General features: G+C 42.3%; 2 protein-coding genes across 4 annotated transcripts in view, besides 4 other annotated features; one reads left to right on the top strand and one right to left on the bottom strand.

The window, feature by feature from the left end:
- MRPL22 (mitochondrial ribosomal protein L22) overlaps nucleotides 1-9,732 on the bottom strand; it is a 28,339-nt gene extending 18,607 nt beyond the window's left edge. For both annotated transcript variants that reach the window (NM_014180.4, NM_001014990.3), the window contains exons 1-2: nucleotides 9,667-9,732; nucleotides 9,540-9,588 (exon numbers count right to left, since the gene is read on the bottom strand). In NM_014180.4, the coding sequence (NP_054899.2) occupies nucleotides 9,540-9,588; nucleotides 9,667-9,694 (77 nt within the window). In that variant the 5' untranslated portion in view covers nucleotides 9,695-9,732. The remainder of the gene's footprint in view (nucleotides 1-9,539; nucleotides 9,589-9,666) is intronic.
- Nucleotides 9,633-9,792: an enhancer, noted in NCBI's record as "active region_23491". NCBI's record gives its function as "activates an Ori minimal core promoter by ATAC-STARR-seq in GM12878 lymphoblastoid cells {active_cell/tissue: GM12878}" and the evidence as "EXISTENCE:reporter gene assay evidence [ECO:0000049][PMID:35858748]".
- Nucleotides 12,296-12,345: an enhancer, noted in NCBI's record as "active region_23490". NCBI's record gives its function as "activates an Ori minimal core promoter by ATAC-STARR-seq in GM12878 lymphoblastoid cells {active_cell/tissue: GM12878}" and the evidence as "EXISTENCE:reporter gene assay evidence [ECO:0000049][PMID:35858748]".
- Nucleotides 12,507-13,098: an enhancer, noted in NCBI's record as "H3K27ac-H3K4me1 hESC enhancer chr5:154317267-154317858 (GRCh37/hg19 assembly coordinates)". NCBI's record gives its function as "activates a minimal SCP1, AML or CMV promoter by ChIP-STARR-seq in naive H9 embryonic stem cells {active_cell/tissue: H9 hESC(naive)}" and the evidence as "EXISTENCE:reporter gene assay evidence [ECO:0000049][PMID:30033119]".
- GEMIN5 (gem nuclear organelle associated protein 5) overlaps nucleotides 12,594-17,391 on the top strand; it is a 50,801-nt gene continuing 46,003 nt past the window's right edge. For both annotated transcript variants that reach the window (NM_001252156.2, NM_015465.5), the window contains exons 1-3: nucleotides 12,594-12,837; nucleotides 13,620-13,780; nucleotides 14,783-14,964. In NM_001252156.2, the coding sequence (NP_001239085.1) occupies nucleotides 12,672-12,837; nucleotides 13,620-13,780; nucleotides 14,783-14,964 (509 nt within the window). In that variant the 5' untranslated portion in view covers nucleotides 12,594-12,671. The remainder of the gene's footprint in view (nucleotides 12,838-13,619; nucleotides 13,781-14,782; nucleotides 14,965-17,391) is intronic.
- Nucleotides 12,736-12,915: an enhancer, noted in NCBI's record as "active region_23489". NCBI's record gives its function as "activates an Ori minimal core promoter by ATAC-STARR-seq in GM12878 lymphoblastoid cells {active_cell/tissue: GM12878}" and the evidence as "EXISTENCE:reporter gene assay evidence [ECO:0000049][PMID:35858748]".

Genomic DNA, 17,391 nt, shown 5'->3' with positions numbered 1-17,391 from the left:
GCCTATAAAACAACAGACACTTAGGGGACCTTTCTGTAGAGTTTACATATCTTTTGAACCACTTCAGCTCCATTTTGATGAAAACAATTTAAGGATCACAACTGGAAATATTCTAGAGGTATTCATTAATAGAGACTACTTTTAAACACAACAAAGAGACAGTTTATTAGAGGCTAACAGGAGAGAAAGTAAACGCACATAAGTCAAACCGTTAATAGATATTAACCCAAGATTTCTTGCCCTGACTGGCCAATAACACTGTCTTCTATAAGTCACCCACTCCTAAGAAAGATTTAGAGAAGACATAATGAGCTCTCTGATCTGACCTGTAAGATTGCCCAACTTTGTTGAGTAACTAAGACAAAAACACAAAACAATTAGAAGACAATATAAAACCACATAACTAAAATATGGGAAACAGCAGAGGATTTCAGAGGTGACTTCAGGTGAATCTTGAACTTCCTAATTGATATGGCTCGGCTCTGTGTCCCACCCAAATCTCATCTTCAATTGTAATCCATACATGTTGAGGGAGGGACCTGGTGGGAGGTGATTAGATCGCTGGGCAGTTTCCCCCATGCTGTTCTCGTGATAGTGAGGGAGTTCTCATGAGATCTGATGGTTTAAAAGTGGCAGTTTCCCTGCACTGTCTCTCTCTCCTGCTGCCTTGTGAAAAAGTTGCCTGCTTCCCCTTCACCTTCCCCTATGATTCTAAGTCTCCTGAGGCATCCCCAGCCACGCAGAACTGTGAGTCAATCAAACCTTGTTGGTTTATGAGTTACCCAGTCTCAGGTAGTATCTTTATAGCAGTGTGAAATGGACTAATACACTAATTATCAGAGGAATGGGGCAACGACATATATCATCTATGCAGAGGTACAGAGTTGAGAAATAAGGGGAGGTCTGACTGAGTCAGAGAATTTGTTAAGTATTGGAAAGGTCATTGAGGCTAGAGTGGTTGTCTTTGAATGCTAAACTAATAGGCTGAGACTTGATGATGAAGATCCCAAATTCACTATTCCTTGACCTCTTCCCCCACACTTTAACTGCTTTAATAATATACAACTAGTCATTCTCCCTCTCCCATTTTCCCCAGCATCCGCTACTCCCCTATATCACTAAATAAAATCACTCTTGAATGGTGTTCTAGAGTTTATCTTCAACTTCCCAATGATTTTCATCCTGCCAGAGCTAGTCACCAAATCTTACAGATAAAATAAAGATTCCCCTGAAATCGTTCTCAAATGCTTTACCTCTTCCCCATTCTAATTGCCACCATCCTATATAGCAATAGCCTCTAGATTGATTTCTCTTCCATCAACTTGCCCAATTCCAATCCATCTTTCTCTGCTTGAGTACCAAATGAGCTACCCTTCTATAATTCAGAGCTACTCATGTCATCCTCCAGCTTAAAAACGTCTATTGAAATAAGCAAATGAATAGTTATGTAATATTCTAATGCTATCCTTTTTTTTCAGTGTCACTGACTACTGGGATTCTTGGTATGGAAATAAGCAGAAAAGGTTCAGCCAAAATCCAATAAGTACTAGATCTCTCCACTGAAGAGGTGTAGAAGCAATGAACAATCTAGTAGCAATTAGTGCCCCTACTTCCCAGATTACGGTCTTGAAATACCATTTCCTATTGAAGAGAACCAAAACTTCTGAGAGAAATGGCTGATTGCAGATCTCAAGCAGATAACATACAAAATGAGCCCAGAACATCTTGTCATATCAGAAAGCAAAGAAGCCATCAAAGATTACCAAGGTCATGTCAAAGGCACTCAGGAGCCAACTTGTGGATGCCCAACAAGCCAAAGATGGGACAAGCCAAGCATTAATCAGGACAATAATTGTAGTGGGTTGAAACACATCAAATATGTTTAAAGCCATAAGTTCATAATAAAACCAGGAAAAATACAAATTAATTACCATTAGAAAATGCTAGTGAGCCAACTTGTTATTTTGAAAACTGGTGAATGAAGAGAAAGAATGAAGAAAAAGACAAGACTTATCCTGTCTTTCCTATACAAACTGTACCATTAAGTTTCCAAGTAGTAGATGAGGAAAAATTTGACTTGTATAAAGTTAGTAATGAAGGAATAGCAAATTATTATAGCATCATCTTATAATCCTTAATAAACTAATGGATAAAGGAGGCATTATGTGCCTCCTTATGGAAGAACACACCACCCACCATCCACAAAGTAGTCTTTCCTGCCCAAAATGAAACTGGGGGCTCAAGCCCCTAGATTCAAAATAGGAAACACAGAGAAAAGACAACATGTTACGTAATATCATGGGGATGCACTCGGTAAAATCCAAGGTATAGAAAACGCTACAAAACAACCAATTGTCTCCAACAAATAAATTACAAGAAAAAAAAGAGAGGGTTGAATAAAAAACCTACAGAGTAAGAGATTTAACAGAAATATCAATTAGTTTCAATGTGTGAACTATTATAAAGTATGACAGTTACGAAGCCATTGGAAGTTTAAATATCAAATGGATATTTAATGCTTTTTAATGAGATAATAGTAAAATATTTATGAAAATGATACAGTGGGGGGAGTGTTTCAAAATATGATGAGGGAGAGTACAGGTTATAAATAACATTGGCCATAAGTAGTAAGTGTTGAAGTTGGGTGACGGATACATGGAGGTTCATCAAACTGTCTACTTTTGTATATGTCTGGGCATATCCAAATAAAAAGTTAACACAGCAAACTTTGGTATTTCCCTACTGCCCACAATACGAAGTCCAGACTCTTTAGCGAGACATAGAAGGCCTTTCATAATCTAGACCCAATCTGCCCTTATAGCCTAGCCACATAGATGTTCATTGTTCCCTGAACAAGCCTTTATTCAAATTGTTTTCTCGTCTTATTATCTCCTGAATGAAATGCTTATCCTGTTTTAAGTTCTAGCTCAAATGTCACCTCAATGTGAAACATCACCTAATCCCTTATCTGATCATGATTCTCGCGTTGTCTTAATACTTTGTTCTTGCCAGCCATACAGCAATGACTTAGACCACTGTACTATCGTAAGTGGCTATAATAGAATGAGTTATTGTACTAAGTGTACAGATGTTGAGCATTTAAAGGGCAAGTCCGACTTTCTTTGTATTCTAGCACCAAGAACAATGTCTGGTACGTGGATACTGCGTAAACATTTAACTCAGACTTATATACTCAAAGTGGTTGTATATTGGCATATTCTCATACAAATATGCAACTTGGATGATTTACTTGGCAAACAAAACCTTTGTTTTTAGTCTTCAAGCCATTTAGACCAAAGACTCAAACAAATCTATTCTAGTGTATCATTTTTACCCCAAGTTCACTATCTCCTATCCTAATATCAAGATTAGTGCCATCAAAATACCTAACAAAATCAATACCTTTGCCATCCACATTTAGGTTCCAATGTCTTAACTGAAAAGCACAAAATTAGGATACATGATGTATGAAGGCCTATTTTGCTAAAATAAGCCGAGTGGTGACAGCTGAGGCTACAGAGTCGAGCAGACCTTGGTCTAAATCCTAACTCTAATTTACTAGGTGAATGGCCTTGGGGAAGTCATATAATTTTCTGGGTCTCAGTTTTCCCATCAGTAAATAGACTAATAATAATTACCTCATAGCCTTCTTAAGAAGCTCAAATGCAAGTAAAATACTTAACCTGACACTTAAAAGGGCTCAATAAATTTTAGATATTATTACTTGTAGAATGAGGAAAATAATACTTACTTAATACTGTTGATGGATTAATAATTTAGTGCATCCTACAATGTCTAGCCCATGATAAACACTGATGGCTAGTGTTATTTTTAAATTAGGCCCTTTGGCCAAGTATGGTGGCTCACGCCTGCAATACCAGCACTTTGGGAGGCCACGATAGGAGGACTGTTTGAGGCCAGGAGTTCAAGACCAGCCTGGGCAACATAGCAAGGCCTTGCCTCTGTTTTGTTTATTTTATTTTGAGACAGAGTTTCACTCTTGTCACCCAGGCTGGAATGCAATGGTGCGATCTCAGCTCACTGCAACCTCCGCCTCCTGGATTCAAACGATTCTCCTGCCTCAGCCTCCCAAGTAGCTGGGATTACAGGGACGCACCACCGCACCCCACACCTGGCTAATTTTTGTATTTTTAGTAGAGACGGGGTTTCACCATGTTGGCCAGGCTGGTCTTGAACTCCTGACCTCAGGTGATCCACCCATCTCAGCCTCCCAAAGTGCTAGGATTACAGGTGTGAGCCACCACACCCGTGTTTCTTTTTTTAAGGGCATAAAAAATAAAACAAAGTTAGGCCCTTTGAACAGTTAATCTCTCCTGTCCCCAGCCCCCAAATAAGTCCTGTGAACTGTAAGCTTTAAATACACAATTTCAAAGTTTTTTCTCAAGTTTATAATCATAAACGTTTATGGTTCTATGTAGTTGTAATTAGCGAGTAGGGTACACTATGTTTGTCACCTCTTTGGACCTTGGTTTCTTTGTCTGTGAAAAGAGGAATTAGACTACATCATCTATAAGGCCTCTCCTAACCTTAATTCTATCTCTAATCTCATCACCAACAGCATGACAGAAACATGAACCCCTTTGCTACAAACCAATCTGAAAGATTTCTTGAGTCAGGCCCATACCTGCTGTACCCGCCTAGCACAGTACCTTGCGCTCTTCAAATCTTCAATACATATTTGGTGAATTAAATATGTTGCTTCATAAATTAAACATACTATGAATTAATAATGTCAAAGCTTTCTGAATTCTTATAATACTTTCAGGACTCAAATAATTCATGAACTGAATTATCAAGCAAAGACCAAACTACTATAATCAAATTAAATTAAAGTATTATTCCAAATGGGGTTCTTAATTTAGAAGCACAGAATATCAAATCAAAAGTTCCTATGTGCCCTCTCCTGGCCAATTGCTGGAATAACACTCAATTAAAACAAAATGAAGCAACCTTAAAACAGAAAATACAGACAAATTCTAATTCTAATTATCAGTCCTCATCTGAGAGTGACCTAAGTATCTCTGGTCACTCACTCTTCCTTGAGACACTTTCTTTAATTGGGTTCCAGGACACTTGGGGTTTTCTTCTCCCCTCTCTGGCCACTCCCCCACAGTCTCCTTTGTTGTTTCCTTGTCTCCCTCCCTGGTCTGTAATATTGGCTGCCTTAGGCAGGAATCAATCCTCGGACTCTTTCTATCTACACTCACTCCCTTGGTGAAGTCAACCAGCTTTGCAGCTTTAAACATTATCCATGCATTGATGACTCCCAAATGTACATCCGTTCCCTGAACTCTATAAACTCATATACCCAATTGCCTACTCGTATCTCTACTTGGATGCTTACAACAGCTCAGATTTAACAAACCCAAAAGTGACCTACTAATATTCTCCCCAAACCTGCTCCTCTGGAAGTCTTCCTAGCTCAGTAAGTGGTTAACTCTACCCTTCCAGTTGCTCAGGTCATAAACTTTGGTGTCACCCTTCTTTCTCACACCTCCCATCCAATGCATCAACAAGATCTGTCAGGTGTGGTTAACATACTGCCAGAATCCAACCATTCACTTACCTTCACGGCCACCCTAATCCAAGCCACCATGATCTCATACCTGAAATAGCCAACGGTCTCTGCTTCCATCCTTGCTCCCCATCCCCACCCCAGTCTATTCTCAACACAGCAGCCAGAAAGAACCACTCATAAACATAAGTCAGATCATATAACTCCATGCTCAAAACCTTACAACAGTTTCCCATCTTGCTCAGAATAAAAGCCAAAGTATTTACAAAAAATAATAAGGCTCTATATGATTTATGACTGCCCCTTCCTCTCTGACCTCATCTCCTATCACTATCCCTCTCCTTTTTGTCATTGTTCCTGACACCAGATATGGTTCCTTGGAGCTGTTGCACTTACTATTCTATCTGCACAGAATGCTGTTTGTTCAGATGTTAGCACAGCATGCTTCCTCATTTCCTTCAAATCTTTACTCAAAGATTATCTTTTAGTGAGGCCTTCCCTATCTAAAACTACAAGTTCCTCTCTCAAACACACATACTTCTTATTCTCAATCTCTGCTTTATTTTCTCATAAGCAGATGTCACTATCTAATATACTCTATATTTTACTTATTTTGCTTATTTGCCCCCCTTACTATATTGTACACCCCACAATGGCAAGGGATTATTGTCTGTTCCTGTTCCCTGCAAAATCCTCAGTGCTAGAATAGTTCCCAGCTCAGAGCAGGCACTAAATACATATTTGTAGAATCAATGAAAGAATACAGAGACAGGTAAGGTAAGAGGACTGAGTGTAAATAACTATGCCAAAATTTTACACATGGTTGGAAACTGAGGAAAGCTTAAGAGGATATGCCCCCATCTAAAGGGTGGTACAGACAGGCTTGGTGGCTCACGTCTGTAATCCCAGAGACTCGGGAGCCTGAGGTGGGAAGATCACTTGAGCCCAAGAGTGCGAGACCAGCCTGTACAACATAGTGAGACTCTGTCTCCTAAAAAAAAATATTTTTTTGGCTGGGCGTGGTGGCTCATGCCTGTAATCCCAGCACTTTGGGAGGCCAAAGCGGGCGGATCGTTTGAGCCTAGGAGTTTGAGACCAGCTTGGCCAACATGGTGAAACCCCATCTCTACTAAAAATACAAAACTTAGCCAGGTATGGCGGCCTGCACCTGTAGTCCCAGAAAATATTTTGTTTAGATCCTCACTTTGACATTTAACTGTGTAACCTTCAGTAAGTCACAAAACTTCTCAAATGTATGCATCAGTAAAATAGGAGACTTGGAATTCAAAAACTGAAAACTGTCAGTCAGCTAACAAATATAGCCTACAGAGTAATCCCAGCACTTTGGGAGACTGAGGTGGGAGATTACTTAAGCCCAGGAGTTTCAGACCAGCCGGGCAATATAACAGGACTTTGTCTCTACTAAAACTCAAAAAAAAGTCAGGTGTAGTAGTGCACGCCTGTGATCCCAGCTGCTTGGGAGGCTGAGTTGGGAAGATGGCTTGAATCGAGGCTGCAGTGAGCTATGATCATGATACCGCACTCCAGCCTGGGTGACACAGCAAAACGCTGTCTTTAAAAAAAAAAAAATTTTAATATCTATATATATATGTGTGTGTATATACATGTATGTATGTGTATATATGTATATATATGTGTATATATGTATATATGTGCATATATGTGTGTATATATATATATATCCTGCAGAAATGTTTTATTTGGTCAGCAGCAGTTTTCTTAACCTAATTCAATGTTTTTAGATGAGGAATACACTCTACTGACCACCACAGGCCCTCCCACTCTCATTTTACATAGACAACTTCCCTTAGTTTATTTATTTCTAGTCTGGGGCCTATATGCAATTAAGTTTCCTGGCGGCTCATGCCTGTAATCCCTCCAGGCCAAGGCAGGAGGATCACTTGAGCCCAGGAGTTAGAGACCAGCCTGAGCAACACAGCAAGACCCTAAAAATTAGCCAGGTGTGATGGCATGCACCTGTAGTTCTAGCTACTTAGGAAGCTGAGGTGGGAGCCCGGGAGTTTGAGGCTGCAGTGAGCTATGATCACAGCACTGCACTTCAGCCTAGGCACAGAGCGAGACCGTGTCTCCAAAAAAAAAAGGAAAAAAAAGTTTCTCATCACTGAATCAGATTATATGCTAAAATTTTACATGGTTATCATGAACATTATTTATACCTTTCTACTTAGTTTTCTTATGGTCATTTTCCCCACTAGAAAATCCAAAATAAGGATTCACAAAATTATGTAATAACTTCAGAATTGCAAATAGCCTTAGAGATTATCTAGCAAAATCAAACACTCTTGTATCATGACATAGAGGAAAAGACTAAAGGCAAACTGCTTAAGTTTCTTGCTCAGAGCTTCTTAATACAAGTTGGTGCAAGACAATTCAAATCAACATCAAAATACTTGCCTGTGTAAGACCTTATGCTGGAGGTACAACAATAAATAAATGTCCCTACTTCTCCAAGATACACAAGCTAGTAAAGGGCACATACACATATACATGAAGTCATCATAGAAGGCACACATGCTAAAAGGAAGGAAAAACTAATTTCTTTCCGTTTTAGAGAAACCAGTGAAAACTTCCTGAAGGGAAAACATCTGAACAGAGGTTTGAATAATGGGTAGGACTGCTGTTATAGACAAGATGTGAGGGCATAGTAGGAAAAGCCAAGAAGCAAGTAAGTGCAAAGTATATTCAGAAAAAGTAAGTAAATCAGCATGGTTGGGGGAAGAGTGATAGAAGATTATCTAAGAAGAGTACAGACAAATCCTAAGAGCTACTACTTCCTATTTTCTTCTTTAGCCCACCTCTTTATCCCCCTCGGACCCAAAAACTTAGAAAAGGGTTAAATATAATTGGGAACTCAGTAATAATTTATAATAATAAAAACATTAATGGCAACTAGAATTCAGAGTGGGATTATCACATGCCATAAACATACTAAATACTTCATATGCATTATCTTGTTTGAATTTCCTTTTTAAAATCTACTAGAGCTACATAGATGGCATGTGCCTGTAATCCCAGTACTTCAGGAGGCTGAGGCAAGAGAATTGTTTCAGCCCTTAAGTTTGAGACCAGCATGGGCAACATAGCAACACTTCATCTAAAAAAATAAATAAATAAAAATTAAAAAATTTTTTAAATCCTAAGAGATAGGTACTAACATAACGCTCATATCATAAAAGTGATAACTGAAGCTTATTAAGAATAAGTAACTTTTCCAAGATCACAGTTAAAAAATGGATTCATATACAACTCATCTGTCTGCAAAGCCTATGAACTAAACCAAAATCAATGCTAACAAATGGACAGACCAGAAAATTTACAATCAGATTATCAATTTTCAAATACCGATTTTTTATTTTGGGGAGAAATACAGCGACTACTTACCCTAACCTTTAATGAATGCTTTTGTCCTAAGGCTACAGAATGCTCTGGTATAAAGCTTCAAAATTTCCTACAACTGAGTGGCCTTAGGCAAGTTATTTTACGTTTGGGGACTTCAATTTCCTTGTCTGAAAAACGGGTATAGCAGAACCTACTCGTAGAATGTTATGAGAGTGAGTTAAAGCATATAAACCGCTAAACACAATGTCAGGTACGACGTAAAGCAGAGTTGTCCACAACACGGTCCCTGCCCATGTAAGCAAGTAATCAGAGAGGTAACTTGAAAAGTTGGACGCTTCCATATGGAGATGGAATAGTCTAACCTTGTCCAGAAAGATCACAGTAGACGTTCGGAAATCGCATTTACAATCGCCCTTGGGTTATGGGTAATCCTGATCCCTGTACAGTTTATGCAATAAGGTGGAGAAAAAATAGAGTGACAAAGCAGAGACTCGGGCTGTCTCATTCGCCTCAGTAACCCCAGAGCCTAAAACACAGTTAGGCACGGAGGCGCTCAGTTACCAACTGGCAGAATACTAAAGATGCCTTGGGCCCTTCCGAAACTCCGAAGCGAGAGACTCACCCCAAGGCCAGCTTCCCCCGGCTCCTCAGGTTATGTATCCATAACGCACCTGCAACATCAACACAAGCCGTCAACTCAGATTCCATCTCGACTCCCTTCTGTCGCTTAACCACTAAGAAATCCTTACCCAACTGTCCCAGTACTGCCGCCGCCATCTTTCGCCCTCCCGCTACGGAAGCCGCCGAGTTCAAGCGCCTTCTGGACAGCACGCATGCGCAATACTCTGGATTTCCTGTGGGGCTCTCCCACAAGCAGTACTTACACCCCAGGTGCCGTCACGAAGATCGCAAGCACTGGGCCGGCGCTCGAGGTGTGGTCAGGCGAACCTGGCTTGGGAATGAATTAATTAATAAAGGCCGAAAGCACGTGGGCTTCCGAAAATTCACCTGGATTCAGAAAAACTAAAGTCCCAACTCACAAACTAGAAAGGAGTAGGGGAACAGAATCCGTGAACAAGCCACCTAATCCGGTGGTCCTCAGTTTTCTTATCAGAAATGACTAACCTTAGGGCACAAGCTTGTTGTAAAGATCAGTTGAAATAGTGTGAAAGCTATTTTATTTCATTTTATTGAAACAGGGTCTCTCTCTCGCTTAGGCTGGAGTGTGGTAGCAATGACCTAGTCTCACTGCAGCCTCGACCCCGGGCTCAAGCCACCCTCTTACCTCAGCCTCCCAAGTAGCTGTGACTACAGGCGCACATCACCACGCCCGGCTAATTTTTGTATTTTTTATAGATAAGGAGTTTCCCCAAATTGCCCAGGCTGATCTCGAATTCCTGGGCTCAAGCAATCTGCCCTCCTCGGCCTCCCAAAGTGCTAGGATTAGAGGTATGAGCCACGAAACCTAGCCTAAAATCTCTTTTAAAGAGCAAATAGTTCAAATATGATGTATGCTGTCCTAATCCCTACTAATCTGGTTGACCTTCAAGAATGAGTTTATATTCATCTGGCATTTACTGCCTTATGTCAGGCAGGTATTTCACTAAATCTCATTTATTCCTCACAGCAATCCAACAAGGCATGGATTATCATTTTCCTTCTTCAAATGAGGAAACATATTTAGGATATGTTAAAGTCTCTCAACTAACAACTGGCAAACCAGTGATCAATCTACGACTAGGTGCCTCCAAATTTGTGCCCCTAGACGCCTTCAAATATATGTATTTGACCCCTCTGTATTAGAATAACAGGTAGTTCAGATTGCGGTTTGCTACCTATGCAGGAATGTCAGATACCCAATGCAAACAAGCAACACACGAGTAGTGCAGAATCTGAGCATTTTAGCATTTTTGAGTTGAAAGGAAACTTTCTTCCACACCATTTACCACATACAGCTTCCTTCACACAGCTGGCCCTCAATCAAGCAAATCAAGAGTCACTCCATTTGCTTCTCCTTCATCTTTGAGTACCCAGAACCCAGAGCCAGAATTTCCACCCAGTTGCAGAAACTGTTCTTTCCCTTTTTAATTCCAGATTCGTACTTTCATATTTTTGTTTGTTTTGTTTTTTTGAGACAGGGTCTCACTCTATTGCCCAGGCTTGAGTGCAGTGGCTCGATCACAGCTCACACCAGCCTGTCTCCCGGACTCCATATTGTAATGCCCAACCTTGTTTTTACTAACCCTGTTTTTAGACTCTCCCTTTTTCCTCTGATCACCTAGCCTTGTTTCCACTTGAATTGACTCTTGCTTAGCTAAGAGAGCCAGACAGACTCCATCTTGGCTCTTTCACTGGCAGCCCCTTCCTCAAGAACTTAACTTGTGCAAGCTGACTCCCAGCACATCCAAGATGCAATTAACTGATAAGATACTGTGGCGAGCAATATCCGCAATTCCCAGGAATTCGTCTGATTGATAGCACCCAAAGCCCCCAGTCTATCACCTTGTAATAAATAGTCTTAAAGCCCCTGCACCTGGAACTGTTTACTTTCCTGTAACCATTTATCCTTTTAACTTTTTGCCTACTTTATTTCTGTAAAATTGTTTTAACTAGACTCCCCTCCCCTTTCTAAACCAAAGTATAAAAGAAAATCTAGCCTCTTCTTCCGGCTGAGAGAACTTTGAGCGTTAGCCATCTCTTGGCCACCGGCTAAACAAATGGACTCTTAATTCGTCTCAAAGTGTGGCGTTTTCTCTAACTCACTCAGGTACAACAATATTTTTGTTAAGTGGCCTCTTGTGCATATCTTTTTTTGTTTTGTTTTGTTTTTATTTGAGATGGAGTCTCGCAATGTCGCCCAGGCTGGAGTGCAGTGGCGCAATCTCTGCTCACTGCAACTTCCGCCTCCCAGGTTCAAGCGATTCTCCTGCCTCAGCCTCCCTAGTATTTGTTGTCTAGGGATTGTTGCATTTTACTTTTTTTTTTTTTTTGAGATGGAGTCTCGCTGTGTGGCCAGGCTAGAGTGCAGTGGCGTGATCTCCGCTCACAGCAACTTCCGCCTCCCGGGTTCAAGCGATTCTCCTGCCTCAGCCTCCCGAGCAGCTGGGATTACAGGCGCCTGCCACCACACCCGGCTTATTTTATTATTTTATTTTATTTTTGTTTTTTAATAGAGACGAGGTTTCACTATGCTGACCAGGCCGGTCTTTTAACTCCTGACCTCGTGATCCTCCCGCCTCGGCCTCCCAAAGTGCTGGGATTACAGGCGTGAGCCACCGCACCCGGCCTCTTGTGCATATCTTTAAAACACCTCCACAACTAGCAAAGTGCCCTGGCACATAGCGCTCAAAAAACGTTGGACGGGATAGTGGTTGAACAGCTCCAAATAATAAACTGGTAGCCTGGGGCGGTGGTTCCACTAGTCTAATCCTCTAATTTTGTGCCTTTCTGTGGGAAGTGAGAATGCTTAACCTCGGGGCTGTGCTCAGGCAGCACCTGACCCTAGCCAGGGTTGGGGCGGACCTCCTACCGCGGGCTAGGTACTGAGGGCCAGTGCAGCACGCGTGGTCCCGCCCTTCCCAGCCCGGCGGTAGCGGGAACGCAACGCGCGGTGCTGGCTGGGCCTCGACGCGCACCGTAGCGACTGCCCGAGAAGGCGGGGCTCGGAGTTCACCCCGCCCCGCTCCCTACCTAAGGCGTGAGGCTACGAGCGGTCGGCTGTGGCAGCTTCTCTTGTCTCTGACGGCTTGTAGTTATGGGGCAGGAGCCGCGGACGCTGCCGCCCTCCCCCAACTGGTACTGCGCCCGCTGCAGCGATGCCGTGCCCGGGGGCCTCTTTGGCTTCGCCGCGCGGACCTCCGTCTTCCTTGTCCGCGTGGGCCCGGGCGCAGGCGAGAGTCCAGGGACACCCCCGTTTCGAGGTAACTCACCACCCTTGGGCCCGAGACTTACTGCCCTTTGTACGCTCCCCAGGGGCGCCGAGTGGACGACTCCACCCCGTTTTCTACAGCTAGGGAAACTGAGGCCCAGGCTGGGAGGAGAGGCAGCCCACAGTCACTAAGCTGAGTTGCTTCTGGTCTCCTAATGAGCTACACCATGCTGTGGCCGAGCGGTCCCGCCTCCTGGAGCTTCCACGTGGGGCCGCTTGCTTACTGAAAAGTTAGCCTTGTATAGTCTCGGCCATTTATATGGCTCCCCTGCCCAGCCTGGTGCGCGCCAGCCCCCCGGGAGCCTTCCTGGGGTTGGGGGCTAACCACAGCTGCAGGCCCTAAGCAAGATCCTGCAACGTGTGGCATTCCTTACTGTAAGATGAATGGGTTGAACCAGATGCTTTCAGGCTCCAAACTAGGCTTTGATTGTGCCTTAGGATATGACATGCCAGGTGATTTATTCTGGCCACATCTAAATAAGAGTCACTTTCACATTATTTGAGCTGCTTTCCAGTCTGTGAACTAAGCAGAGCAAGGTATATCAACATTCATTTCACAGTTGAGAAGCTGAGGCTCAGAGACTTGTTCGAAGTCACGTGGCACAGCCAATATCAGCACTTGGGAATTCTGAGTGTAAGTCCGTCGGTGTTTCAGTTATACCATGGGTTAAGTAACTCCAAAGCATCTGCTCACTTGTCATCCAACAACAGTATGATTCTGCCAGGAACCTTGGATAGCACTTCGATTAACCTAGCGTCTGGTTTTGCTTAAAGTCATAGGAGAGTTGGTGGGACACACCGAAAGGGTCTCTGGCTTCACATTTTCTCATCACCCTGGTCAGTACAACCTCTGTGCCACCAGCTCCGACGATGGGACTGTGAAAATATGGGATGTAGAGACAAAAACAGTTGTGACAGAACATGCACTCCATCAGGTACCATGGCTTACTGGTTTCTCAAACCGTTTTTATCTATCTGTGCTGAGGGTTCTTCTGTTGCAAGCTAGTTTTGCTAGCTCATCTGTGCAAAGTAACTTGTAATTGTGTTCATTAATTAGATAAGAAACTATATTGTAAGATGTCTCAACTTTTTTTGAAAGGAGATATATACAAACCAGAGGTTGGCAAACTGCTCTGTGCCTGTTTTTGCAAATAGGTTTTATTAGAATACAACCACACTAATTCATTTAAGTATTGTCTATGACTGCTTTCATGCTACAAGAGTTGAGTAGTTGCAACAGGCATGGTATGGCCCACAAGGTCTAAAACAATTACCCTCTGGTTATTGATACAAATGGACTCCTGATATAGACTGTAAATGCGTGAATGAAACTCATTTCTAAGCTAGATAGTTACTTGATGTACCTGCCTTTTGAGAGAACAAAGGAAAAGACCTACTTAATAAGAACTTTGCATTAAGCTATTTAAAAAATTTTTAATGATTATTTGATCCCCAGTAGTCTAAATCTTCCCACCATTTTGTTAATATCGTGTTGCTATAGAAGTACTACTAATAAGTATTAATTACTTTTTTTTTTTTTTTTGAGACGGAGTCTGGCTCTGTCGCCCAGGCTGGAGTGCAATGGCGGGATCTTGGCTCACTGCAAGCTCCGCCTCCTGGGTTGACGCCATTCTCCTGCCTCAGCCTCTCGAGTAGCTGGAACTACAGGAGCCCACCACCACGCCCGGCTAATTTTTTTATGTTTTTAGCAGAGATGGGGTTTCACCATGTTAGCCAGGATGGTCTCGATCTCCTTACCTGGTGATCCACCCGCCTCGGCCTCCCAAAGTGCTGGGATTACAGGCGTGAGCCACCGCGCCCGGCCGTATTAATTACTTTTAATGTGTATATGTAGCATTATGCTGGTTTGTGATACAAGTTAAAAATTAAGTAGAACTTCAGCATTGACAATAACAAATTTTTGTTTTGTTTTAAAGCATACGATATCAACATTACATTGGTCTCCTCGAGTAAAGGACTTAATAGTATCTGGGGATGAAAAAGGAGTAGTTTTCTGTTACTGGTTTAACAGAAATGACAGCCAGCACCTCTTTATAGAACCCAGGACAATTTTCTGTCTTACTTGTTCACCTCATCATGAAGATTTAGTAGCCATTGGGTAAGTACTATGCCATCTGTATTGATGATTTTTGTTTGTTTATGATCGTGTTTTGCATTTTCTTTACCTTCTCTGTCCTTTTATTCCTCAAAGGAAACCATCTACAGATGTTAACCACTCCCCCTGAGCCCCTGGCATCATTTATTCCTCCAGGTCTTTACTGTCTCTGCCACTCCGTTTTTGTTTCCTTGGTTTCCATGGTACTGTACTTTCTTCGTTTTTCGGATCTAACTCCTCCAATCAACCTTTACGTGTAGGAAATGTCCTCTTTCACCTTTTTCGCTTTCTCTACTGCCCGTTGATACAACATGAACTCCCAGGTGTCAGATGACTTTGCTGGGTCTCTCTAGTTCTGAGCGCTCCCTTTAGATTGGGAAAGTGATGCGGCATTGGGATCTGTTTCCTTGTTGATCACCAAGGTTGTTTCACATGAGCTGCCTGAATATACATCCCCGTTTCTTTCACCATTTCATGTACTTCTCACTGAAAGATGTCTATTTTCTCTAATTTGAAGACTTAAGCAATTTCCCTAGAATGTTGAAGGAGAAATTCTGATTGGAGTGGATTTGAAAGACTGGGGGCTAAGGCAATAGAGATACACAAAGAGACAACAACTCTTTCACAAAGTTTGTTGTAAAAATGTGCATATACATGAAGCCAGAGGGGATAGATGGGGTCAAGGGAGTATTAAATGGAAAATACCAGGGACCTGTTTTTATGCTGATGAAAGTAAGGCTTGAAAAGAGGAAGAGCTTGTTGCAGGAGTAAACTATGATAAATGCAGGGGTATTGCTGAAAAGTCAAGAGGGGATTGGATTCAGATGACAAGAAGAAAGAACAGCTGGGAATATAGAAATAGGTGCAGGTAGATTTGTAGATGTGCTTGGAAGAAAAAGGTGTTCTATTCTGGTATTTCTGATTTTCTCATTGAGGCATAAGTCAGAGTGGTAGAGTCAAGTTCATCATGGGGTTGAAACTGGATATGCAAAGAAGGTATGAAAATGGTCAAAGAGAATAGGAAAACGAATGTACTAAGGAAAATTATAGGCCCAGTGTTCACTGTTGAGTGGCAAACAAAGAATCGTGGCCATAAATTTAAAGTAAACCCAAACTGTTTGAGAAAGGAGATGGTTGGATTCAGCCAGGTTTGGGGCTTTGTGGAGTAAGTACTCTTGAGGGAGAGGGAGAAGGAGACGGGGCGTACGGGTATTTTTAAAAGTTGATGATAAGGCTGGGCGCAGTGGCTCACACCTGTAATCCCAACACTTTGGGAGGCCGAGGCGGGTGGATCACCTGAGGTCAGGAGTTCAAGACCAGCCCGGCCAACATGGTGAAGCCCCATCTCTACTAAAAATAAAAAATCAGGCCAGGTGCAGTGGTGCACGCCTGTAATCCCAGCACTTTGAGAGGCCGAGGTGGGCAAATCACCTGTGGTTGGGAGTTCAAGACCAGCATGGAGAAACCCCGTCTCTATTAAAAACACAAAATTAGCCAGGCATGGTGGCGCATGCCTGTAATCCCAGCTACTAGGGAGGCTGAGGCAGGAGGATCACTTGAACCCAGGAGGTAGAGGTTGTGGTGAGCCAGGATTGAGCCATTGCACCCCAGCCTGGGCAACAAGAGCGAAACTCTGTCTCAAAAAAACAAACAAACAAAAATTAGCCAGACTTGGTGGCGCACACCTGTAAGCCCAGCTACTCAGGAGGGTGAGGCAGGAGAATCGCTTGAACCTGGGCAGTGGAGGTTGCAGTGAGATGAGATTGCACCACTGCACTCCAGCCTGAGCGACAGAGCAAGACTCTATCTCAAAAAAAAAAGTCAATGATAGTGATGGATCATGAAATCTGTGCTGCATTGGGTAGGGGGATGTATGGAAAGACAGGTGTGGGTGAGTGATAGTGAAAATGGAAGGGGACTGGATCGGCAGTCTCTTGAAGTGGGAGCAGTGTTGTAGTAGGGTTGATAGAGAGGATGAACAGAAAGGTGGTAGGCAGGAGTCAGGGGAGGATCTTCAGAATAGTATTATTCCCAGAAAGCTTGATTCAGATTTCTAAATAGCTTGATCTGTTGGTGATTAGGTTGCATAACTTGGCAGTTTTCAAAGTCCGGGTCTTCAAAGGTTGACATACTCTAGTGTTTCTTTTAAAAAAAAAAAATAAATAAAGCTGTGCTGGTGTTCTTCCCTGTCGAATGCTGTAATGTGTAGGAAGTGTGAATAGGTACAGCCACTTTGTATAATGCAGTTTTGTACTTTCTAATAAAAATGCATATATCTTAACATCCTGGCAGTTCCATTACTAGTCATCAAACCTGAAATTGTCTTAGATGTGTACATGAACATTAATAGCATTTTTTTGTTGTAAAAAAGTGGAAGCCCTTCAAAAGGAAAATGAATAAACTTTGAAATATTCACACAGTGCAGTACTA

This window comes from Homo sapiens, chromosome 5, assembly GCF_000001405.40.
Source record: "Homo sapiens chromosome 5, GRCh38.p14 Primary Assembly".
Classification (NCBI taxonomy): domain Eukaryota; kingdom Metazoa; phylum Chordata; class Mammalia; order Primates; family Hominidae; genus Homo; species Homo sapiens.
This window is presented reverse-complemented; position numbering and strand designations above follow the sequence as displayed.